At 39.4% G+C, this 25,980-nt stretch overlaps 1 protein-coding gene across 3 annotated transcripts in view, besides 2 other annotated features; it reads right to left on the minus strand.

Annotated features, from left to right (window-relative positions):
• Positions 1-21,908, minus strand: part of GTF3C3 (general transcription factor IIIC subunit 3) — a 36,649-nt gene extending 14,741 nt beyond the window's left edge. Inside the window, exons 1-10 of one of the 3 annotated variants that reach the window (NM_012086.5) lie at positions 21,735-21,908; positions 20,022-20,133; positions 15,181-15,377; positions 13,562-13,685; positions 12,104-12,295; positions 11,429-11,594; positions 7,666-7,813; positions 7,082-7,154; positions 2,784-2,887; positions 1,121-1,292 (exon numbers count right to left, since the gene is read on the minus strand). In NM_012086.5, coding sequence (NP_036218.1) covers positions 1,121-1,292; positions 2,784-2,887; positions 7,082-7,154; positions 7,666-7,813; positions 11,429-11,594; positions 12,104-12,295; positions 13,562-13,685; positions 15,181-15,377; positions 20,022-20,133; positions 21,735-21,836 — 1,390 coding nt within the window. In that variant the 5' untranslated portion in view covers positions 21,837-21,908. Of the gene's footprint in view, positions 1-1,120; positions 1,293-2,306; positions 2,888-6,992; positions 7,155-7,665; positions 7,814-11,428; positions 11,595-12,103; positions 12,296-13,561; positions 13,686-15,180; positions 15,378-20,021; positions 20,134-21,734 lie in introns of those variants that run through there. The other 2 variants (NM_001206774.2, XM_005246965.5) reach the window with 2 other exon arrangements.
• Positions 21,877-21,926: an enhancer, noted in NCBI's record as "active region_16913". NCBI's record gives its function as "activates an Ori minimal core promoter by ATAC-STARR-seq in GM12878 lymphoblastoid cells {active_cell/tissue: GM12878}" and the evidence as "EXISTENCE:reporter gene assay evidence [ECO:0000049][PMID:35858748]".
• Positions 21,987-22,046: an enhancer, noted in NCBI's record as "active region_16914". NCBI's record gives its function as "activates an Ori minimal core promoter by ATAC-STARR-seq in GM12878 lymphoblastoid cells {active_cell/tissue: GM12878}" and the evidence as "EXISTENCE:reporter gene assay evidence [ECO:0000049][PMID:35858748]".

Below are 25,980 nucleotides of genomic sequence, written 5' to 3' on the forward strand. Positions count from 1 at the left end.
ATCTCAAGCCACATGGGCTCAAAATGGAAACAGCATTGATCAGAATCATGATTAAATAGGATTTTTAAAGTATACACTATTAGTAACACAGGAGCAGTTTCAATATCACAGCCCTAAGTAGAAAGGCAATACAAACTAAGATATCCTGCTCATATCTTTAAAATTCAAATCTCACAAATAATGCAGCTTTTTACGATGGTATTACATTTGTATTCATATTTATTCATCTAAACAGAAAAGTGTTATCTTAATCATTAAGTGCTCTCTTTCCTAGCTCATATCTGTGATGTGAGTGCACTACTGCCCCAAAATGCCAATCAATGCTTCTCTAATTATAGAGTTCTGTCATCATATAATACTTAAGAGCCATTAGTTTTCTGCCATCACATAGTATTTGAAACCAAGACTATTCGATCTTTAATGCGTCTTTTATGTTGACTCAATAAGAAACCCTATTAGAATACTTTTTGCTTTCATGTAAGAGCCACTAGAGTTTTCTGCCATCACACAGTATTTGAAACCAAGACTATTCGATTTTTAATGCATCTTTTATGTTGACTCTATAAGAAATCCTATTAGAATACTTTTTGCTTTCATGTATTTCTTCAAAAGATTTAGTCATGTTTCTTAAGCTATTTTTTCCAGTCTAAATGATTCACTGCAGATTACTATGGACTTAGGCACAGTGTAATAAACGGCTGATAAAACCCAATTTTGAGTATGTGTGGCTCAAAGAGCATTGAAAAATATATTAATTTTTCCCAATATAACATATTAAATATAAATCTATAAAAACTCTTCAAAATTAGATTTTGCCCCAAGTCTGACAATCCTTTGCTAGAAACCAGACCCTATGGTTAAGAGAGGTTCAAGACAGGCATCTAAGGGAAATGTGAGTCCTTCAACTTCACTCTGGCATCATTAAGTAAATCATTCCTCCAAAGCATTAGTGATGGGGAAATCACTTAGTAGCCTAGCAAGACAATTTAAAATACTGACTTTCAAAAAACTCCCCTGAAACCAGAAACACTTGCACTATAATAATTATTACCATCTTGGGAAAGTAAGTTCTTGGCTGCTTATATGATTAAAACTTCTTCCTCCCACAAAAAAGTGTTACCTGCATGACGAAGCCAAACTACTGCAAGGTTGTATCTTTCAGAGCAAACAAGAGCACTGAGGAGGGGAAGTGCAGAATTATATTCACCAACATCCAGAAAAGCTTCAGCAACATCTAGGTATAGGTCTCCCATATCTTCAGGATTCTGTTCTACTAGTGTTGTCAAGAGAGGCTAGACCACAAATAAAAGCCCCAAGTTAAACATTCATTACAAACGTGCACATCTATCTATAGCTTTTTTTTTTTTTTTGAGATGAAGTCTCTCCCTGTCACCCACGCTGGAGTGCAGTGGCACAATCTTGGCTCACTGCAACCTCTGCTTGCTGGGTTCAAGTGATTCTCGTGCCTTAGCTTCCTGAGTAGCTGGGATTACAGGTGCATACCACCAGGCCCAGCTAATTTTTGTATGTTTAGTAGAGACAAGGTTTCACCATGTTGGCCAGGCTAGTCTCAAACTCCTGGCCTCAAGTGATCTACCCTCCTCGGCCTCCCAAAGTCTATAGCTCTCTTTTTAACCTACATATCAGTTATAAGAGGCAAGCTGAAAAGGAGCAAGGCTTAATAAAAACAGCGTTATATGGTCATTTTTCTGTTCACTTCTGCCATCTTTATTTTAAATAACTCATACCCAGTGAACACATTTTGTGGATCTGTTTAAAGACAGGCATTGCAGGAACTAAGACACAGCTCATCTGTTTTGCTCTTCGTCTAACCAGCACAACGTCTTGTGCCTCAGGGCTTCTGTGTTTGCTAATGTTTTTGGAAAGTTGTTTCCTTAGATATCCCCATGGTTTACTTCCTCACCTCCTTCAGGTCATTATTCAAATGTCACCTTGTTTGTTTGTTTTTGAGACAGGGTCTGCAGTCTCTACCTCCTGGGCTCAAGCAATCCTCCCACCTTACCTCCCAAGTAGCTGGCACTACAGGTGTGCGCCACCACACCCAGCTAAATTTTTTGTATTTTTTGTAGGCGTAGGGTTTCACCATGTTGCCCAGGCTGGTCTTGAACTCCTGAGCTCAAGAGATCTGCCCGCCTCAGCCTCCCAAAGTGCTGGGATTATAAGTGTGCACCATGGTGCCCAGCCAAATGTCACCTGATCCCCTATTGAAAACTGCAACTTTCCCCTGCCCCCAATATTCCTTATTTTCCTCCTTTTTTTTCCAGAACACTTATCACCAGCCAATGTCCCGTATATGTTATGTATTTATTTTATTATCTAATCCCATTAAAACAAAAAAGCATCCCAACCCATGAGGGTATGGATTTGTATATTTTACTCAATATCTTATCCTAAGGTTTACAAAGTAGATGCTAAGTACTTTTTTTTTTTCAATAATATACTTGGTCCAAAGTCCGCAAAAAAGAATAGCTGTCAGAATTATTACCAATTATCTAATGACAATCTCAAATGGTCTAAAGACAATCTCAAATTATGATCTTTAGATTGTTATTTTAAAAGAAAAATAAATTACTGTAAGCCCAATTGCAAAACAATTTTAGTTTTTATAAGATATTCATACAAAATTATTTGATGCTTATTGTTACCTCCTTGGTTATTAAGAAATGTGAAACTCTAGGGTCAAGTTATAATTTCTTGACATCTAAAGAAAAGAGATGGTGCATTTGATCTGAAGTATCTCAAGTGCAGATCTTGTTACATACATTAAGTGGTTCAAGAATGTTGAGATGTACAAGGCAGACCATCAACTTCACTGTGATATCTATTGGCACGCCATCAGGTATAGTGCAGGTAACATTCTCAGGAGCTGGAGAATACACAGACAAGAAGCAGTTACTATATGCAAGCTTGAGATGTGTATCTTCTATGTAAGATCTCATTTATTTCATTCAAAGCAAATGATTCCACAGTCAATTCTTAGTGTGGCCAACTCTATTAATAAGTTCTTATATCTCTCTCAGTCTGTCCTTTGGTAGCAAGTATGCTTCCTATTCGATTTCTAATACCTTATGTACTTATCCAAAACTTACTTTCACACCTTCTACTAAACTACGGAGAACTAAAAAGACAAAAATAATGAGGATATATGAACCCTCTCTCTTTTTTTTCTTGAATTGAAAAGTCTCTTTTTAGTGTTCACTAGAAACAGGCTAAGAAAAGGATAAAATAATACTGTGTTATTTTCTAAAACCTCATTACAACAAAATAATTTTTAAAGCCCTGGGAAATTACAGGAATTTTTATCCACATTTAAAGTAGTTTGCAAAGTCTAATAAATTCCAAATAAGTTTACATGTTTTCGTTTCAGAAAAACCTGAAGTATAGAGGACATCACAGATGTATCCTAAGTGGTGAAATAAAAAATTATTCAAGAATTAAATAACTATCTGTTTTACAGAACTTGTCATATAAATTATGACAGTCTTCCATACCTTCAGGTTCCACATATGCAGATTCAATGAACTGCAGATCAAAAATGTTAAGGGGAAAAAAAAAAAAAAAATATATATATATATATATATATATATATATAAAATTAAATAATACAAACTTAAGAAGCAATACAGTTTAACAGCTATTTACATAGCATTTACATTGTATTATTAGGTTGGTGCAGAAGTAATTGTGGTTTTACCATTAATATTATAAGTAATCTAGAGATGATTTAAAGTATACAGGAGAAGGTACATAAGTTATATGCAAATAATACACTATTTTATATAAGGGATTTGAGTATCCAAGGATTTTGGTATGAGGGGTGTCCTGGAGCCAATCTCTCATGAACACTGAGGGGAGACTATATTGCCTAAAATTACCAAGTTATAGGAGGATTCGGACAAGTTTAATTAAGAGACTGTTTTTATCACTGAGCTCTAAGCCAATAACTGGTATCAGAAATCCAATTAATATATTTAGTCTGCTCAACGAGAGAGCAGAATTTACCTACCATGTAAATTTACTCACACTAAGCCCTGAGCTCCATGAGGACAAGAACCATGTCTGACTCAAGGCTGTATCCACAGCACATTTCTTCTGTAGACAGTAGCTAAAGTCACCTGTCTGAGTAAGGACTAAACACAATGCAGTCATTTTAATGAGCCTTTTTCTTTACTAAAATCTGATTCTATCTTTATCATGTATGGGTTCTACATTCCAACTGTATCACTTTGATTTTCATTCTAGAAATGCTGTTTGCTAACAGTCTGAAATGTTGGTGTCCCACCAAAATACCTGTGTTGATACCTAATGCCCAAGGTTATTAAGAGGTGGGTCTTGGGAGGTGCCTATGTGGGTGGGATTTGTGCCCTTGTAAAAGAGGTCTGAAGAAGCTTGTTTGTCCCTTTTGCCACGTGAGGACACAGCAAGAAGGCACCATCTATGAGAAAAGGGCCCTCACCAGACACCAAATCTGCTGGTGCCCTGGACTTCCTAATCTCCAGAACTGTGAGCAATAAATTTCTGTTGTTTATACATTACCCAGTCTAAGGTCTTTTGTTAGAGAGTCCAAACGGACTAAGACACTGTTCAATAAAATATATCTACGTGTTTTAACTTTCAGCAAGAAAATTATAGTATATGAAATACTTTATATCTCGGCATAGGCCTTAAAAATATAGTGTGTATAGATGCATAGGTCAAAAACCCTGCTTTCATATCAAATCACAAAGTAAAACTCAACCTTATGTTGAATGCAAGATGTATACCTAAAATCAAGTGATTCAGGAAAGCTGAAAATAAAAGGACAAAGGTATAGCAGGCAGGTGCAAACAAAAAAAAAAAATAGGTGTCACAATCTCAATATGAGACAATGTAGAATTCAGACCAACTATATTTAAAAAGGTAAGGAGGTCACTTCATAATGCTACAGGGCAGTGCTACTCAAACTAGTCTGGGACCTGTGCAGGTAAACAAACTGTTACCAGTTCAATCAGGTAAGTATGGAGATTGAGAGTAAGTATTTAGATACTTTAATGGCAACTTGACAATGCTAAGGAAAGCAGTATATATATTTATAGCCCCTACAGCTTATATATTATTAACTAACATTTAACATACACTATCTTTTAAAAAGCTTGTCTTTGTGTCACTGATACTTTATTCTCCTGAACTCCCATTAGGTCTTTCACATTCAGAAGAATTTAAAAATGTGACTGTCAATAGACAATACATAATCTACCATAAATGGTCTCATTTTTTAAAATGCATACTAAAAAACTACCTTTGCTCACTTTGTATCTGTTTTAATCTCCTAGTCTTCTGGACATATCTTTTTCTTTAAAGTTATTTCATCAACACTAAGCTGCCAGATTTCAGATGCACCGTTATTTTACATGCTAAAAAATAAAGAAGCCACTACTTAAACTCTAACCTGTTGTTGATTTATGTTAATATGTGCCAGGAAGGAAGGGAAGGAGGGAAGGAGGGAGGGAGGGAGGGAGGGAAGTAAAATATATTAAACAACAAAATGATTATATCTACAATTAAAACTTGAACAGAACTTGGTATTTCTCTACCAAGTTTTCCAAACAAAGGACAGATTTTCAACACAATTAAGAAGAAAAATCTTAAGCAGAAATTATGACAGTAAAATAATAACTTCATTGGGCCTTGGCTCGTGCCTAAGCCAGGTCCTAGTAAAGTATCAAAACTGGCAAAGCCTCCTTCACATGCCCTAATCCATGCTTTCATCCACAATTTCTACTCCTTATTCTACTCATTCACACCACCCTGATGACTCAACAGCCCCAACCACAGCCTGTGATCTGGTCCTGCTCTTCCAAGCAGTGCTCCTACACCCTGTGACTCAATCTGGATCACACTCCCCATGGGTGTCTGCTTAAATTGGGCCTCTATAAACATCTTCTGATCCTTGTATACTGCTCTCCTCTATTTTCCCATAACATCAACTTTGCTACAGAAATTATCACACAACTCTTAAAACTGTATGCACCTCATTTGAACGCCTCTTCCCGCCTCCACTTCCTTGAGAGCAGGAAATATCATACTCATCTGCGTAGTCTCCACACACCTAGCAGTCCCTTACAAGAAACTTACTGAACTGGGTTTCCCTTCCCCAAAAACTTTCCACTTCAACATTTATCTGTCCCACATCTCACCTTGGGCCTTACTCTCTATGAATTAGCACAGATTGGCTTGTGTAAGTGAATTACTGCTCACCATTAGGATGGATCATGTTTTAAGTAACAGTTTTTGTTTTTGAATAATGATGCCTTAGCCCAAAGGATTACATAATGATGGAATTTTTAGGCATCATGACAGGCCACGGAAGGAGCTGTTATGAACCAGGCAGGACTCAGTACCAACTCACTTGGTCCTTCCACAAATTCCATCAAAATCCTCACAGTGTAGGGGTTGAAGGTACTATACAGGAATTCTCTTACAAGAGCCGGGTTATATACTCTGCTCATAAAGATCAATTTTGCTACAACTTGATGTAGGGTCTTGAATGTTAATATTTTTACAGAATAGGTTAATGAGTATGGTACAAAGAGACTGCAAGCCACACTTAGGTATAACTTTCTAACCAGATCACTAATTATATATTTGAGTTTTCAAACAATGTAGGGTAATCATATTAGTTTCTACTTATTATGTGAATGCTTAAGCTTAAAGTCAAATGTTTTAAGTAAGAGCATTTTAGGTCCTATTTGAAAAGTAAATTGCTTCAGTGCTAAAAGTTTTTGATAAACTTCAGTAATTCGTTTTTTTTCCTAAAAAAAGGAATGAAAAAGACTGTCAATGAAAAATGCCATGTTCAAATGGACATACAGGGACTCAAAACAAATTTTTTTAAAGATTACTTGTAAGTCAATACTCACAAGATATGAAATCTCTGAGAAAAAAATGCTTCTTGGGAAAACTTATTATGAGAACATTAACTATCAACTCACCACAGTATGAAATAAATTTTCACCATAAAACGCCACCTTATGACCAAGAGAGGATTATATACACTTTCCTAAGCAGAGGAAACTACAACCTTTATTCTCTTCTGAGGTGCCTTCTTCTGAAGTTTTTTTTTCCAGCACAATTCCAGAAAAATCTGTAATTATCTAAAAGAATGGGAAAGAAGAAAGGAAATAAAATATGTGTGAAAAACCATTTCATAATGCAAAGATTTGTACAGTTATTTCAAATAATCCCTAATATAAAGTTGGGCTATAAAAAGAAAGAGTCTTTTAAAAATGAGAAACCCTGTGACACATTAACATTTTAATATCCTATTAACTAATGCAAACTCAATGTATATAACTTCTTTATATCAAACCAACCTACTTTCCCCCAACCAGCTTAAGAACTAAATCACAGCAATTCATCTGACTGTTGAGTCCTACTACCCTGAAGTACATACTTAGCACCTGTGACAATGGCAATATTTTTTATTATGTAACTACACTTCATATTTCATACTGAATTGCTACAGAATCTAGAAATCACTTGTTTCCATATAGACTTTAAATATATACATAATTTAACTAAAACGAAGAACTGCCAATTTTTAAGAATTTCCAGAACACAGAAACACATGCAAAACTTAACAGAGAAACACATAAGCATTCCTACCTCCAAAGCTTTGTCATACTGTTTGTTAGAAATATATAGTTCAGCTGCTATGTTAACATCTTCCATGGAGACTAGGCCCTGGTGTTTTGAGAAAGCTTCATCAATTATGTTAATAGCAGAAGTAACATCATTGGCTTCATAGTAACTCCTAAAAAAAAGTGGCAAAATGGATGAATATTTACTTAATTCCAATTATAAAACTCATTTCCTTGCTTAGGCTATCTAACAATGAACAGTGATTTTCATTTTCTTAGAATTTGAGAGGAATGTGTATTTCCTTAAAATCGTAATCAGAACTGATCCAGAAAAAATGTGCAAAGTCAGTAAAACAGTGTCATAATTTCAAGCATCTCACTCTCCAAATGCTACCTCCTATCATTCCAGCTCATTCCCTATGTAATCCAATACCAACTCTTCTACCTCAACAGATCTACAAAGCATAGGTCCTACCACTTTTTCACTATTGCCTACACCCCGCCTGGGCTCACTTTCTTCCTTCTCCATGGCCCAACGTTATAGCTATTCCTTTGCATACATCCTCAGTTCTCTTGCCCTGCACTCTCTTGATCAAAATCACTCAATAAAACTCCAAGCCTGGTTAAAATCCAACTATATCTACTCTTCACCACCACCTGCCCAGCTGACCATGTTGACTGGTCTCACTCTAAACTGATGACCAATAGCCTCAAGCAGGTCCATGGTACTGATGAGCAGTATTACTACAGTTACCTATTTCAGTACTTCTCAAACCTAAATAAGCCTATGGACCAACTGGCTATCTTGTAAAAACGCATATTCGGATCCAGTAGAGCTGGGGCAGGCCTGAGATCCTGCATTTCTGACAAGCTTCCAGGTGATACAAATACTGCCAGTCTGTGGGGCAGTAATGTCCTAGACAACTATTGACATCTCTCTCTTTTCAAACCTCCAGCAGTCTCCCAGTCCCCACTCTCAGTTGATGGCCTTGCTTGACATTTTTACCAAGAAAAGAGAATTAAATCAGAACATCCCACATATTTCCAGCACATCTACCTACTTACCAGTATCTTTGGCCATATCATCTGCCTTCCCCTTTATCAAGGATAAATAATTGTATACATGAAAATAACCCCTAGTTTGATCCCATTCCCTATGATCTACTTAAGGATATTGCTCAGGCAATTGTCTCTTCCCTCACAAATCTTCAACGTGTCCCTCAATTTTTGATTACTCCCATCTAAATAAAGATAAATGGTAATTTTTCCCAACTTAAAAAATTCTCCCACCCCTACAACCCATTCCTCTGCTCCCCTTGCAAATTCCCCCAAAGTTGTCCATCCCCCATACCGTCTCCAATGCCTCTTTCCATTCTCTTTTTAACCTAATCCAATCAACTTTTCCTCTCCCCATTCTGCCAATATTTCCAATCTCCTTGTTACTAAATCTGTCAATTCTCAGTGCTCATTTTACGTGATCTATCTGCAATATCTCACACAGATGATCATCCCTCCTACTTGAAGTTCTTTCTTCAATTAAATTCTAGAACATCATGCTGTTCTCAGTTTCCTGCTACTTCACTGGCCATTTTCTTTTAGTCTCCCAGCTGTTTCTTCTTCTTTCTGATTTCTAAACATTGAAGTGCCTTAGGGTTCAGTCCTCTATACCCTGTCCACCTCCCCAACCCACCCCTCATATTCAATACATCAGAAAATCTTGAGAGCTCAGCCTTCAAAATACATACATAATCTGATTACTTCGTACCAGTTCCTGCTGCTTCCATCCTGGTCCACGTTACCATTTTCCCTTCTATGTATCACTACAGTAATTTCCTAACTGGTCTCCATGCTTCTGCCCTTCCACTGTTCAATCTATTCTCAAAAGAGCAGCCAGAATTGATGCACTTAAAATTTAAGTCAGACCATGTCACTTTTCTACTCAAAATCTTCCAGTGACTTCCATACTCATTCAGAATAAAAGCCAAAGCCCTTACAATAGCCCAAAAGGGCTAAATGATCTATTCCTGATACCTCTCTGCACTGCTCCCCTTAATTCTTCAGCTTCCCTAACCATACTTTGCACTTCCTGTTTCCTTTACCTGTGATACTCTTCCCTGAATATCTGTTCTCGTACCTACTTCAGTTCACCTTTAGTCAGTATGACCATAATACAGAGAATTATGTCCTTCTCTAACCAGTCTATCTTAAAATAACACACCCCCACCACATACCTCAAATTCCTATCCCTTTTTCCTGCTTTGTTTTTCTTCATATCACTTATCAACATCTGATGTACTATATATTTAGCTGTTTATTTATTGCCTATGTCTCCCACTGAAATGTAAGCTTTACAAGAGTAGGGGATTTTTAAAACTTGTTCAATAGTGGATACCCTGGTCTCCTGTATAGTACCTAGTGCCAAAGATATATTCAATAATATTTCTGGAGGGAAAGCAGGGACCAAAGGGAAAGCCTAAACAGAAGTTACAGTGATAGAATTCCACATAGGAAAGACCTCAATGGCAGTGGCAGAACTGACAATCATCACTCTTTCCCAAAAAAGTATTATATCTAATAGAAGTGGAAAACCAATTTACTATCATAGGCCACCTAACATTTCACAAAGTCAAAGGCTACTGGACTAACCACTGTGACAGCTATAGATTTAACTAACAGCAAATAACCTGGGAAGACCCTCAGTGCTCATTGTATTCCATCAGAGATCAACTTAGGGTTGCCTTGCCTCAACAAATTTCCTAGAAATGTTTTCTAGTAGTCCTATGTAACCCACCCCTGGGAGGGTAAGGGACAGTTTCACAGCTAAGCATCATTGTGATAAAGGCCATGGAATTAATAGGGTCACCCCTAATGTACCCTGATGGAGATGGTTACTCCTAGAACAAAATATCATATGGTATCTCTAGAATGGAAAGCATATCACAAGGCATTACTCAGCAAAAATGTTTCCTACTTTGTTTTGCTGCGCAGCATACCAGAGAAGTAAATGCAGTAGGGCATATTTTAGAATAAAATATATACCACAGTCAATAATGTGCCAACTGTAAAAGAGAATTTTTATAGTCTTAAAATATTATATACTGGCTCAAGATAAAATAATAGAAGATCCCAAATCATTAACATTTCACTGGCACATCTGCAATAAAAAATAATTTTTTAATTATTGCAAATATACACACTTTTGACTAAGTTTGGAAACCTGAGAACCTACTCTTCCTTTTAGGACATGTCCCATTTTTAAGCCTCTGAGCACTTGAAATGTAACCTTATATACACAATTTTCTAAGCAATGACACAGTTGACTTGGAAACAGAAAAGTACTGAAAATTCGGTACAATCTAAAATACAGGGCTGGGCACGGTGGCTCATATGTGTAATCCTAGCATTTTGGGAGGCCAAAGCAAAAGAAATGCTTGAGGTCAGGAGTTCGAGACCAGCCTGAACAACACAGCAAGACCCTGTCTCTACAAAAAAAAATTAAAAATTAGCCGGGTGTGGTGGCGTGCACCTACAATCCCAGCTATTTGGGAGGCTGGGTGAGAGGATCACTTGAGCTCAGAAGTTCACGGCTGCAGTGAACTATAAACATGCCATTATACTCCAGCCTGGGTGACAGAGCAAGACCCTGTCTCAATAAACAAAACAATAAAACACATAAGGCAAAACACTTCTTGAACTTCAATGAAAAGTACATTCTATTCCAAATATATGCTTTGATTTGCAAAACAAGATTAACAGGAGCAAGTAGATCTGTTTCACTCCAAACTTACTTTGCCATATCTCTAGCCAGCTGCATAAAACGTTCGCCATCAGATGGAGACAAAAGGTTTAAAATACGCCTATAACCATCCATGGCCATTTTATGATCACCCATCTGTTCATAAAGGCTTGATCGCTCCCACAGATAACGGACATTAGTAGGTTCATATTTAAGAGCTAAAAAGAAAGAAATACAAATTATTTACCACAAAAAGGGGTGCATGGTACCTGGGTGTGATCCATCATCTCAGAAAATTTAATAAGCAAACTAATCCATCAAATGGAACCAAGGGAGTTATTCTGAATAAATCTATATTCACAGGAACTCTTGACTAGGTTTGATGTAAGAGCAGATAGAATCTGAATCTCAACAGTAATCTTCTTAATGTGGTCAATCTAGTCTGATGTTAATCCTCAAGGAACAGCTTAGAACCAACACTGATCTTAGTGAGAAACTGAAGGTACTGTTCATCTACCAACTTTCGTGTTGTATTATCTCACAACATTCAAAAAGTCCCTGATAAACATGAGAACAGAGGAACCCCAAATACTTACCTCTAGAGCAACACACAATAGAAACAAATTTATCTCAGCCAATATCACACCCCAGAATAGCAAATACAATGATCAAAAAACCTATTATGTAACAGCTTGTAAAAGTGAAAAAAAAAAAAAATTTTAATTACCTTTTGTATAGCAAAAAATAGCCTGCTTAATATTGTCTTGTTCCAGAGACATTTCTGCCAGTCTAACCCATTCTTCTGTGTCACTGGGATTTAAATGCGCAGCAATCAACTCAAACTGCAATGATTTTTCCATGTCACCTTGGTCCTCATATATCATGGCTAGAGTAGAGAATGGCTCATAAGCCAGAGGAGCTATAACAAATTAAAAAAATAAATTCCATTGGCTGAGAGAAGAGGCTTGAGTTGATGTCCATCCCATGGTTCAAACTGTATGTCTTTTTTTTAAATACCTAAACTCTTCAAATCACTCTAGCAGAATTATACAAACTGCTTAAGGCAAGTTGAAATAAATGCTAGATTATATCTGCTTTATTTTCATACATTTTTAGCATTTTTAAAGCAGTTTTCTCTAAGCAAGGTATAATTTCATGAAAAATCCTAATCTCTACCACTTCTTCCTCATGAAAATCCCCCTTTGCTCAGGATAAACATGGCTCAATATCAGCAAGTTCATCCTAATAAACACCAGCCACATCAGTGGGGTTGAATCTTCATGATTTAGCTCCCACACCAAGGAGTATGGTATGAATGAACAGATGATACCTAAGCAGCAGCTAAACGGATATCAAAGTGACTGGCTAATCTACATTTCTGAAATACTGTTTCTGAAACAAAATTCAAAGATTATGAAGTATTAAAGTCAAAGATTTTTGTCAAGAACAATTATAAACTAAAATAAAGGAACAAATAATATTGGAAAGTAGGAACCAAATGAAATATACTAAAGGAAAAAGTCTGTTTAATCTTAAGCAGTAGCCTCAAATTACCCTAATGAATAATCCAGGAAATTATAATAAGACTTCTAAAAGGACCCTAGTCTAACCAAAAAGAAATGCCAAACTATTGAAAAGATAAAAGTTCACTGTATTACAGCTATCCAAACCACTCTGCAGAGCATAATTTGGCAAAACATCAAGGAAACAAAACAATAAATATAAGTAATTAGTTAAAAAAAAATCACACTGAAGATATCATTTAATATGTCCAAGATACACCATTTAACTGAGAGATAAGATGACAAGTTTAAACTGTCTTTTACCAAAAAAATAGAGTAACATAATCTAGTACTGCATGATCTAGAAAAGAAAAGGAAAAAAGAAAGCTCTTCAAGTGGCTTTAACATAATATATTTGCCATACTGACAATTCAAAAGTCTAAATCTCTCAACTGAAACATTAGAAAAAAAAAGTAACAGTGAAATTCAACAAATATTAATGACATCTCATTGACTCATACTCTGAGATTTTCATTTTCTTGTGAAAAGTGGCAATTACCATTACCACAATCACCCTTAAGCTTCTGAACATATTTTCCAAATAGTACTGTGAAGTGCTCCCCCATTTGTTTTAAGTCAGACTATTAAACTGCTATTATTAACAAAGTCCCCACAGAAAACACCTTGTCTTATGATTTCCATGCACATCAATATCGCCTCTTCACGTTCTCCTCGAGCAAAACGAATGTTGGCTTCACCCATGAGACCTCTCAGAGCTCTGGGAAGTTTACTCCGAGGCCTTTTCTCCTGTATGGAAGAAAAATGACATTTAGATTAAAATATAGTGAAGTCTTAGATTTCAATTCCAGCCATATTAATAAATATAGCATATAATGAAACTGAAATTTTCCTTTAAAAATTTTCAGTTTTTGCAACCCAGAACTAAATAGTTGCAATTCTAATTGACTCTTTAACATTAAAGTTTATCGAGTCTAAAATTGGCCATACATGGTGACTCATTCTTGTAATCCCAGCACTTTGGGAGGCTGAAGCAGGCGGATCACCTGAGGCCAGGAGTTGGAGACCAGCCTGGCCAACAGAGTGAAACCCGTCTATACTGAAAATACAAAAAAATTAGCCAGGCATGATGGTGCACACCCACAATCTCAGCTACTTGGTAGGCTGAGGCATGAGAATCACTTGAACCTGGGAGGCGGAGGTTACAGTGAGCCAAGATCACGCCACTGCACTCTAGCCTGGGTGACAGATCAAGACTGTCTCATTTAAAAAAAAAAAAAAAGTCTAAAACTCAATTGCAGGAAAAAAAAAAAGTGGTCAGAAGTTACTAAATTACTAATTAGAATAATAACAAATGTAGAGCTGGATGCTGCAAAATGCATTTATATTCCAGAATTATGATGTAATTTACTGAAGATCCCCCTTCTTTCAAATTTATCCACTCAAAATGAACTTGTTTAAAAAAGTATCAAAGGGTTATAGTATGGACACAGACATATTTTTTAAGACAGGGTCTCACTCTGTTGCCCAGGCTGCAGTGCAGTGGAGTGATCTCAGCTCACTGCAGCCTCGACTTCCCGTGCTCAAGCATCCTCCCACCTCAGCCTCCAGAGTAGCTAGGACAACAGGAGTGCACTACCACACCTCGCTAGTTTTTTAAAAAGTTTTTTGTAGAGACAGAGCCTCACTATGTTGCTCAGGCTGGTCTCCAACTCCTGAGCACAAGCAATCCTCCTGCCTCAGCCTCCCGAACTGCTGCCATTACAGACATGAGCCACTGTGCCTCACCAGTATGGACCTTTTAATAGCAAAAGCGCAGTCCATTTTGACATAAGCAATAATTAAGGTTTTGTCTGTGTGTCTGTGTGTGTGTTAGATTCTACCTTTCTAGCATTTTTTAAAAAATAAATGGCCCAATTGGTTTAAATGAGCCACTTTGCTTTGACTTTATTTATTTATTGTGTTGTACTGTATTTAATTTTTTGAGACAGGGTCTTGTTCTGACACCTAGGCTGAAGTGCTGCAGCCTTGACTTCCCCAGGCTCAGCTGATCCTACCTCAGCCTCCGGAGCAGCTGGGCTACAGGCACACCACCATGCCCGGCTATAATTAAGGTTTTACATAAACATTATCTAATAGGAAACATAATAAACAAATAACAATAGTTGTGTCATAGTATTTCCTTTCGTACAGTTTGAATTGTTTCCCAGGTATAACTTACAGACTTCAATTACTATGTCACTTTCTTCATTGTTTATAAATACCAAAATAAGTAAAAATTTACTTTCATCATTTTCTTGGTTTCACGATTGAGAACCATCTCCAATACAAATACATCGCCCGCAGTGGGTTGCTCAGGTGTTTCTTCCTCCTCCTCCTCCTCCTCCTCTTCTTCCTCTTCCTCCTCATCATCTTCATTCTCTCCAAGCATGGAAGCAAAGACCTTGTGAACTGACTTCCTCACTCCATCTGATGTTTCTCCTGAGAAAAGAGACATTGATGGGGGAGGGGTGGGGAAGCTGCAGAATTCTCAGTGAAAAACAAGTATTTTCTAAGTATAAATTTTTACCCCAGTAACACCAAATTTGAAAGTAAAAAATAGCAAATGAACACCCTCAAAAACCAAACCAAAGAAGAAAGTTATCACAAAGCCATGTATTTTATTATATAGGAACAGCTGACTCATCCTTTAGGCCTCATCCAGATTTACAGGCAAAATTAACTGAAAAATCAGAAGCACACACAATAATACAGAAGAAAAAAAATAGAAGAATTATAAGACATAGACCTAAGAACTAAACAAGCCTAGCAGTACGGAGCCCTGGTGGTATACGATAGTGGTTAAAAGTGAGGGCTCTAGAGCCAAGCTGCCTGGTTCCAAACTTCATCTCCATCTATCACTAGCTGTGCAACCTAGGGGAAATTACTAAAGCTGCTCTATACATCAGTTTCTTTTTGCAAAAAGGGTTAATAATAATTTATAGGGCTACTCTGAGGACAAAATGAGTGTGAGTGTGTGTGTGTATATATACACTTAGAATGCCTAGCATATAGTAAACGCCTATTAAATGCTATTATTAGTATTAAAATAGCTTTATTATTTCAGGAAAAAAATAACATGACATAGTTCATTTGTATCTCAGGATACCACCATAGTATAATATAATGATTTTTGAATGTCAATAATTATGACTTTGAATTATCAAGAAAATGTGAAGTGCAGAAGCCAATTTTCTGTTAAAGCAGAGACATTGCTATGGTTTGAATATCTGTCCCCTCCAAGTCTCATATGGAAATTTAATCCCCAATGTGCGAATATTGAGAGGTCTTTAAGAGGGGACCTTTAAGAGGGACTGGGTCATGGGGCTGTGCTCTCATGAATAGATTAATCCATTCATGATTTAATGGGTTATCATGGGAGTGGGACTGGTGGCTTTACAAGAAGAGGAAGACAGACCTGAGCTAGCATGCTCAGCTCCCTCACCATGTGATACCCTACATCGTCTTGGGACTCTGGAGAGTCTCCACAAAGGTCCTCAACAGATGCGGTTCCTCTGCCTGGGACTTCTCAGCCTCCCTAACTATAAGAAATAAATTATTTTTCCTTATAAATTACCGAGTTTCAAGTATTCTGTTATAAGCAACGGAAAACACAAAGATAGACATGTAACATATTTCTAGAAAAGTTCCAACAAAATAGTTAAAATTTTAAGTATATATAGAGAGATATATTTATGTTTATATCTCTCTATATATGTGTTCAAAATATATATGTATTTTTTGAGATGAAGTTTTCCTCGTTTCCCAGGCTGGAGTGCAATGGCGCAATCTCAGCTCACCGCAACCTCCACCTCCCAGATTCAAGCAATTCTCCTGCCTCAGCCTCATGGGGTAGCTGGGATTACAGGCATGTGCCACCACGCCCAGCTAATTTTGTATTTTTAGTAGAGACGGGATTTCTCCATGTTGGTCAGGCTGCTCTCAAACTCCCGACCTCAGGTGATCCACCCACCTCGGCCTCCCAAAGTGCTGGGATTACAGGCGTGAGCCACTGAGCCCAGCCAAAAACTCTTTTTTTTTTGAGAGGGAGTCTCACTCTGTCGCCCAGGCTGGAGTGCAGTGGCACGATCTCAGCTCACTGCAGCCTCCACCTCCCAGGTGATTCTCATGCCTCAGCCTCCCGAATAGCTGGGATTACAGGCATGAGCCACCACACCTGGCTAATTTTTGTATTTTTAGTAGAGATGGGGTTTTGCCATGTTGGCCAGGTTGGTCTCGAACTCCTGACCTCAGGTGATCCACCCACCTTGGCCTCCCAAAGTACTGGGATTACATGCGTAAGCTATCATGCCCAGCATTTTTTTTGTTTTGTTTTGTTTTGTTTTTTTTAGACAGAGTCTTGCTCTGTCGCCCAGGCTGGATTGCAGTGGTGCGATCTCAGGTCACTGCAGCCTCTGCCTTCTGTCTTCAAGCAGTCCATCTCAGCCTCCCTAGTAGCTGGGACTACAGGCTTGTGCCAACACACCCAGCTAATTTTTCTATTTTTAGTAAAGATGGGGTTTCACCATGTTGGCCAGGCTGGTCTTAAACTCCTGGCCTCAAGTGACCCACCCACCTCAGCCTCCCAAAGTGCTGGGATTAGAAGCTTGAACAACTGCACCTGGCCTGTGTTCAAAAACTCTTACGCATACTCACTTATGTGAAATACTTCAAATGAGATAATCAGTGTTTAATGAAGAATAGATTTTAAAAGCTACATGTTCTGAGCAATAAATATTATTTTGAAGTCATAAGGATCATATTCAAGAATTCTGAACATTCAAAATAAAGATGAAAAGAAATGTGTAAAATTTATCAGAGGAACAAAAGAACAAAGGAACAAAAGAAGAAAAATCGTATGATCCATCCTGATAGAACGAAGCATTTGATAAAATTCAATACCCATTCCTAATAACAATTCTTAGTCAACTAAAAATGAAAGGGAGTATCTTTTATTTCATGAAGAGTATCTACAAAAATTTTCCACAAACACAGTTGATGGTGAATTACTGAATGTTACTAAGAATGAGACAAAGTTGCCTACTGCCACCACTTCTGTTCAACATTTTACTGGAGGTCCTAGCCAATGTAATAAGAAACAAAAGGCATAAAGATGGCAAGGAAAAAATAAAATTATTAAGTCACAGATGACATGATTATATACATAGAAGACCCAAAATAAATCTACATACAAACTATAAGAATAATTTAGCAAGGTTGCTGAACACAAAGTCAATATATAAAAATTATAGTTTAATATATCAGCAAATGAATTGAAAATGAAATTAAAAGATGATCCTATCTTCAGTGTGTAAGAACGGTGTGAACAGCAAGAATTTAGTGGTGTATTTAGTACTGTCCAGAGGAAAAGGACAACTAGTGACCATATATTTCAATTAGCTGACTGCCAAAGCTTGTTCAAAACTGACCCCTTCTGCTCTGAATACATGCTCATACTCACCAAGAGTCTTGGTAGAGTTCTGGGACAATTCCTTACTAGGAAATTAGGAGCTTCACATCTTAAAAGGATGTATGACATTATCTGAGCTGAAGCCAGCCAGTCCTTGTGGGCCTGACTGCTCATCATGAGCCTGAATTGGACTCAGCTCACTCCTTTTTTAGGGCCTGATGGCTAGCTTTTGGGAGCAGCTTTAGGTAACAGGACTGACAGGCACCCACTTGTGCCTGCTGCTATAGTAGCAACTTAAACACCTGAGGAAAAAAGAGCAGCTCCTCCCTTCAGCAGATAAGGAAGGACACACAAATTGTGAGAACAACTTCAGTCAGCTGCCTTTTTTTCTTCATCTTTTAAGTTCAGGAGTACATGTGCAGGATGTCCAGGTTTGTTACATAGGTCAACATGTACCATGGTGGTTTGCTGCACAGATCATCCCATCACCTAGATATTAAGCCCAGCATCTATCAGCTGTTCTTCCTGATGCTCTCCCTCCCGCAACACCCCTAATCCAAAAGGCCCCAGTGTCTGTTGTTTCCTCACCCCCTTTTGTCCCTGTGTTCTCATCATTCAGCTCCCACTTATAAGTGAGAACATGCGGTGTTTGGTCTTCTGTTCCTGTGTTGGTTTGCTGAGGATAACGGCTTCCAACTCCATCCATGTCCCTGCAAAGGACATGATCTCATTCCTTTTTATCAGCTGCCTTTTCCACCCCACTTTCCTGGCAGAATAAGAAACTGTAACCCCCAGTTTTCCCTCCTCTTTGCCCTTTTTTCCTCACTTGGTCCAGGGAGGTAGGAACAAATCTTGTTTGTTTTCTGCCCATGCTATGACTGTCTGTTCTCTGTGTAAACACTTACTTGTTTTGAGGGAAAAGAACCAGACTGTACTTCTAACCCCTAGAACTAGACAGTTGTTATCAGACCCTATACATGAAGCTACATTCTAACTGACAGTTTAGCATCCCAGTTAACTTGATATGGTAGTAAATGGATACCCTGAGATATTATCAGCATTCTGATCCCTGGAAAAGGGTATCAATCACTGAACATTAATAAATTTGCTTACTAATTAATTAGGCTACGATGAGTTTAAATAGTCTGGGTGCACTAACCAAATTTAATATCTGGACATGCAAAGCTGAGGACTGGATGCTAGAATGAGGTAGCCTACCAAGACACCTGTGCTGTGTGTGAAGTTCCATGAGGGCAACCAACTTGCCTTCCACGCTAACATTTCTATCTTTTCTCCCTGTAACTAAAGCAGTGGTTTGGAAGCCACTTTATATCGAAGTGTAATTCATTACAATTTGAGGAAGTATAGTCTGGAAGTGATTAGTTACCAACTGAGAGGGCCAATTTAAAAAATAATCTTAAAAAGCTCCCAAACAAATACTGATGTCAATTTAAAACACTTTTCCAACACCAGAGCTCACAAAAAATAACCATCAGGGTATTCAATAACTCAACAAATATTTATTGGGCACCTACTATATAACCAAGCATTCTGTTCCTGAAAAACCAGGTAATCAACAACAGAGTATCACTGCCATGAAAATACAATGTTTCACTAAATTACTTTGCTTACATACTCTAAACATTCATTGCAGGAAGCACATAATTTTAACATACCTTCATTGACATCTTTGTCTTGGGATTTGGTAGAGTTAATTCCTGATGATGATGGAACTTCAGAGTCATCGGGATTTTCTTCAGCTGATAACTTGCCTTTTTCCTGAAGACTCTGTGATTGCAAATTAATTAATGATTCCAAAAAATAATGCAGACTTAGCTCTCCCCAGCCACAGAGTATCTGGTTCTAGTCCTAGCTTTGCCACTCGGGCATTTTGTGACCATGGGTTGGCAGTTTATAGAATAGGGCATTTGCCTAATTTTCTATTCCTACAAAACTTGAGCTGTGAACACATACACAGTAGATGGAATCTAAATTTGAATACTGTCAAAGCATTTCAAAGTACTTATATCTTACCCTTCAATCTGTCATTTGTAAAAAAAAATAAATAAAATATCTTAATAATTTCATTAATGAACATATTGTATCCTAATATTTTAAATAAAAAATGACTTGGTGGCTCACATCTGTAATCCAACCACTTTGGGAGGCCGAGACAGGCGGATCCCTTGAGCTCAGGAGTTTGAGACCGGCCTGGGCAACATGAAGAAACCCTGTCTCTACAAAAAATACAAAAATTAGCAGAGTGTGATGGCTCACACCTGTGGTCTCAGCTACTTGGAGGCTGAGGTAGGAGGACTGCTTGAGTCCGGGAGGCGGAAGTTACAGTGAGCTGAGATCGCGTCACTGCACTCCAGCATGGGTGACAGAGCCAGACTCTGTCTGAAAATAAAATAAAATAAAATAAATAAAAAGATAAGTCCCTACTACTCGCATGAATTATTAAAGAATCTGCCGGCCGGGCAAAGTAATCCCAGTACTTTGGGAAGCCGAGGCAGGCGGATCACGAGGTCAGGAGTTTGAGACCATCCTGGCCAACATGGTGAAACCCCGTCTCTACTAAACATACAAAAATTAGCCGGGCATGGTGGCAGGCGCCTGTAGTCCCAGCTACTCGGGAGGCTGAGGCAGGAGAATCGCTTGAAACCAGAAGGCCGAGGTTGCAGTGAGCCGAGATCGTGCCACTGCACTCCAGCCTGGGCAACAAGAGCGAAACTCCGTCTCAAAAAAAAAAAAAAAAAAAGAATCTGCCTTCGAACTTAAAAATTTAAAAAGGTTGCATTACTTTTATTTTCTCTTGCACTTGAAGTAAGCAAGAAGATACAGTAAGTTCAGATATTTCTAAGTATGGGGAAAAAAAAGGTATGGGTGAAGATTATCTTCTTATCGGACAATACTTTTTTATGGACTATTACTTCACACCAGTGGGAGACTCCTCAAAAACAGGAGCTCAATCGTTCCAGTTCAGAAAAGGAGACATTGGGGCCTAAAGAAGAGAAGTGAGCTGTCCACCCACCGTCACAAAACGACTTAGTGGCAAAGCTAGGACTAGAACCTGAAACTGACTCCAAACTCTTCTCCCCACCTCCCATTTAACTTACCAGCGTTAAGCTACCCTGAAATAAAAACGTAGTATTGGGGGAAAAAGAAGAGGTTACCACCAAGACGAAAGCTTTTCGGTGGGGGAAAACGTTTTAAGGAGCTTAGCACAGGGATGAGGGGTGAAAACCGGAGTTTCTGTAAGATAAGGAAGAAGCTGCTGAAAGTTCCCAGCCCGCCCCATCACAGTGAAAGCGGTCGTCTGGGTCCCCCACACCTAAGGGTATGAAGGCAACAAGAGTGAAGGGCACCGTGGCCTAGCATCGCCTCACTTTCTTCTCGCGGGTTTTTCTCTCTTCTCTCCGCCGTTCGAACTCCTCAAAGGAGATTTTCCCTTCCAAGTAGTCGATGAGTTCCGGACTGAACCCTGACATGTTTACAGGGTCTGTCTGTGCAACCCCAGGAACCGGGACAGAGAACCGGAAGAGCAGCGCCTTCCAGAAGCTACCTCGCCGGGGCCAGCAAGAGCAAGGAACCGGCGTCCTTCTGGGAAACTCGCCCGGTCTGCGCCGCAGCTGCAGCACTCAGGTTCCGCGTGCGCGCCAGACCGGGACGTATAAATGGGAGGCGCGACCCATGCTGACTCCCTAGGCCGCGTCTTTCAGCCCTCGTTGAAGGTTATTAGATAGCTCAAAAAAAAAAGTGCTTTAAATATATTTTCTTTAACCTAGGTAATTTCCCTCAATTCTTCACTAAGTGTTAGTTTCATTCTCCCAATCCATTTTTTTTTTTTTTGGAAGGAGTCTCGCTTTGTCGCCCAGGCTGGAGTGCAGTGGCGCGATCTCGGCTCACTGCAACCTTCGTCTCCCGGGTTCAAGCGATTTTCCTGCCTCAGCTTCCCGAGAAGCTGGGACTACAGGCGCCCGCCACCACGCCCGGCTAATTTTTTGTATTTTTAGTAGAGACGGGGTTTCACCATGTTAGCCAGGATGGTCCCTATCTCCTGACCTCGTGATCCTCCCGCCTCGGCCTCCCAAAGTGCTGGGATTACAGGCGTGAGCCACCGCGCCCGGCCTCTCCCAATCCATTTTCTTTTCTGAAGGTTCTTTAAATTAATTTGGTCGCTGCTGTGTGATATTTTTTTCTTAATTTAACCATTTGCTCTGCCATGTGCATGTTTCACTTTCCAGTTCTCTCCTGCTACAGAAAGCTAAAATCCTCCCCCAATGTATGCTTTAAATTTCACTCCCGCCAGTTTTTCCTCCCCGCTCCCACCGCCCCGCGCCCTGCTCCCACCCGGAATCCTCAAACTCTCCCTTTCCTCAAGCACCGTCTCAGTCTGTAAATACGTTCACCTGGGCTTCCTGTTCCACCTCTCCCACCCAAGTTTTCTTCCTTTCCTAACAGCAAACTTTCAGAAAGAACCAAATACTTGATATGGTTACTACACATTGTTGCCCATTTACTATATAATAAATACATAGGCCATCTACTGTTTTATACATATTACATACATATCTCAAAATAACCCTTCCTTCTAAGTGGATGTTATTCCTAACGCTATTGTCTCTATCTAATAAGTAGTAGAGCCAGGATTTGAACCCTGGTTTCTGACTCCAGGTCCTATGCTTGGAACTATAATATACTGCCTCCTCTGAATGGTACGGTTTTTCAACTTCTACACACTCCTGTGATTTATATTTTCCCTTGTATTATAATTATCTATTTGTCCAATTCTAGAGACACTAGCTGTAAATATCTTGGCAACAGCCCTAACTGATGCATCATTGTAAACCCTACTGTATGGCCTAATAATTTGTGCTGAAAACACATTTGTGAATTATATTGGATGGAATTGAAAGTGCCTTTGGAACCTTGGGCAAGGGAGCTGGAGTAGGGGAATGAAGCTCAATATGAAGCTAAGGTTAAAGACAAGTTACAGGGAGAGTATCACCTAGCCATCTTTATGACAATCCTGGTGAGAATAAACAGCAAAAGGATGGGAGAATGAGGGGCCAGGACCTGCAAGGGCAGGACTGCCAAGTGAGAAAAAAAAATATCTCGCAGCTAGAAGTCTTCCCCTTTCTCATGAGGAAGGATCCTCAGAGTCCTACCTGGGTATAAAATATGGAAGGTGAGCAGGGTAGAGTGTGTTAAAGTAATCCACTTAAACCACTTATAGGGAAATTCTCCCCTAAGTTTTTCCAGACAGTGGAGCAATTGTGTCTAAGAGGAATTTAGGAATCTTCAGTCCTAACTCTCCTAGGGGAAAAGAAAAGAAATCAAGTGAGAAGGGATGGTTACCTGTAAGGAGAATACTCTCCTAAGACCCAAATGACTTAGACTATCTTGTCTTATTGCTGGCTATCTGGAATATGGGAATAACAATTCTGGAGATATAGATTCATGTTATGAAGAACAGGAAGCAGTGAACAAGGGGTAGGAGGGTAGTTTTTTGTTGTTTGTTTGTTTTGTGTGTGTGTTTTGGTTTTTTGTTTTTTTTTGGGGGGGGCTATGGAACACCTTAATGACATGAAAGTTATTTTAGAGGTCAGACTGTTGCAACATATCTTGAAATTTCAATCTTTCTGTTTTTCTTTCCCCCACTTCTTTGGAAGAGATTTGTCACCTGATGAGTCAGAGGTATCCACATTACCTTGAGATGAAGTGGAATGGTTACAGCCATAATAAAAATACATTCAGGCTTGTTTGGAAAATCAGAATGGAAAGTCTGAAGGAAGAAGAACATTGAATTTTTACCACGACCATATAATTAAAAGCATACATTCTTTCTTCTTGCCAGGGAAAAGAGCCAGGATGGGCTGTGACCCTATGTGGGAGACTGTTTTTCCATGGCTTTTTCATTGTTCTGAAAAAGCTTTTGATAGCTTTGTTCTAGGCTAGCTTTTCAAGGCTGTTTTCAAATCAAACAGCCTTGAAAGGTGGAGCTATTGTCTCCTTCTGGGGCAGGGAGCAAATTTGTTTTCCAAACAGTGTAATAAATGTTTCCCTCTGGGCAGAGTTTGGGCGTGTTTGCTAGCAGTCCCATTAGAAGAGTGGGGATTTCCTAAGTTTGGAGTTCCTCAGCTTTGGCACAAACCCAGTTGTGCACTGCATACCCCTGGACCCACATTCACATGGCTCCCTTGATACTTGGGGAGTCAGGAAAACTGATGTGAATGTAAAACTTATGTCACTACCTGCCATGCCATCAGTAAGAAAGTCAGTTGTCTCAGACATAAGGTGTCTCATGTATCTGCCAAGTTTGATGAAAGGGTAGAAAGCTAGTGTGTAGCTTGCAAGTAGGATAAAAGCTCACACTCTTAACAGTTCTTGGCCACCCTAGATCTGGGACAGAGGACAATAGGCCAAGTGCCGGGGAATGGGGTGCTCACTGAAGAGGAGCAGAAGCTCCTCTCAGTGTTGAGAGATTGCCAAGGACCTATATAGAGAAGTACCAGAGACTTCTCCAGAACATAAAACACCTGCAGAACATTTATTTGCATTGGCGCAAACACTACATACACTTCATCTATGTTCTGGCATTAGTTCTCAGCCAAGAGCAAAATCATTTCACTAGTGAATTTTAGAAATGTGTGTAGGGAGGTTTTGGGGGTTTTGTTTGTTTGAGACGGAGTCTCGCTCTGTCGCCAAGCTGGAGTGCAAGTGGCGTGATCTAGGCTCACTGCAGCCTCCGCCTCCGGGGTTCAGGTGATTCTCCTGCCTCAGCCTCCTGAGTAGCTGGGACTACAGGCACGAGCCACCACGCCCGGCTCATTTTTGTATTTTTACAGGAGACAGGGTTTCACCATGTTGGCCAGGCTGGTCTCGAACTCCTGACCTCAGGCCCACCTCAGCCTCCCAAAGTGCTGGGATTACAGGCGTGAGCCACCACGCCAGGCCCCCGGGAGGTTTTGATTGTCGAAATGATAGGGCAGGCCTGGCACGTGGCTCACGCCTGTAATCCCAGCACTTTGGGAGGCCAAGGTGGGCGGATCACGAGGTCAAGGGATCAAGGGTGACAGAGGGAGACTCCATCTCAAAAAAAAAAATTTCCAGCTGAAGGATGAATGCCCCTGCCCCAAAACTTTGCAAGCTCATAGCTAAATGTCCTATGTGGATGCCCTTCCTTTTCAAAGCCACTGCACTGCACTCCAGCCTGGTGCCACTGCACTCCAGCCTGGCGACAGAGCAAGACTCCATCTCAAAAAAAAATAAAAAATAAAAATAAAAAAATAGGGCAGAGATGGGGAATCTACTAACATAGAGTATCTGGGGACCAGGTGTACTAAATGATCACGCACAGTGATAATTTGGCTTCCCCCAACTGCCAATAGCACTACCATTAAGAAACTCTAGTCAGTGTGAGGTATGGGCTTCCATCCATAAAAATGTTCCAGCTGGGCTGGGCACAGTGGCTCATGCCTGTAATCCCAGCACTTTAGGAGGCCGAGGTGGGCGGATCACGAGGTCAGGAGTTCGAGACCAGCCTGGCCAACACGGTGAAACCCTGTCTCTACTAAAAATACAAAAATTAGCCAGGCGTGGTGGCGGGCGCCTGTAATCCCAGCTACTAGG

Source organism: Homo sapiens, chromosome 2 (genome assembly GCF_000001405.40).
Source record: "Homo sapiens chromosome 2, GRCh38.p14 Primary Assembly".
Lineage (NCBI taxonomy): Eukaryota > Metazoa > Chordata > Mammalia > Primates > Hominidae > Homo > Homo sapiens.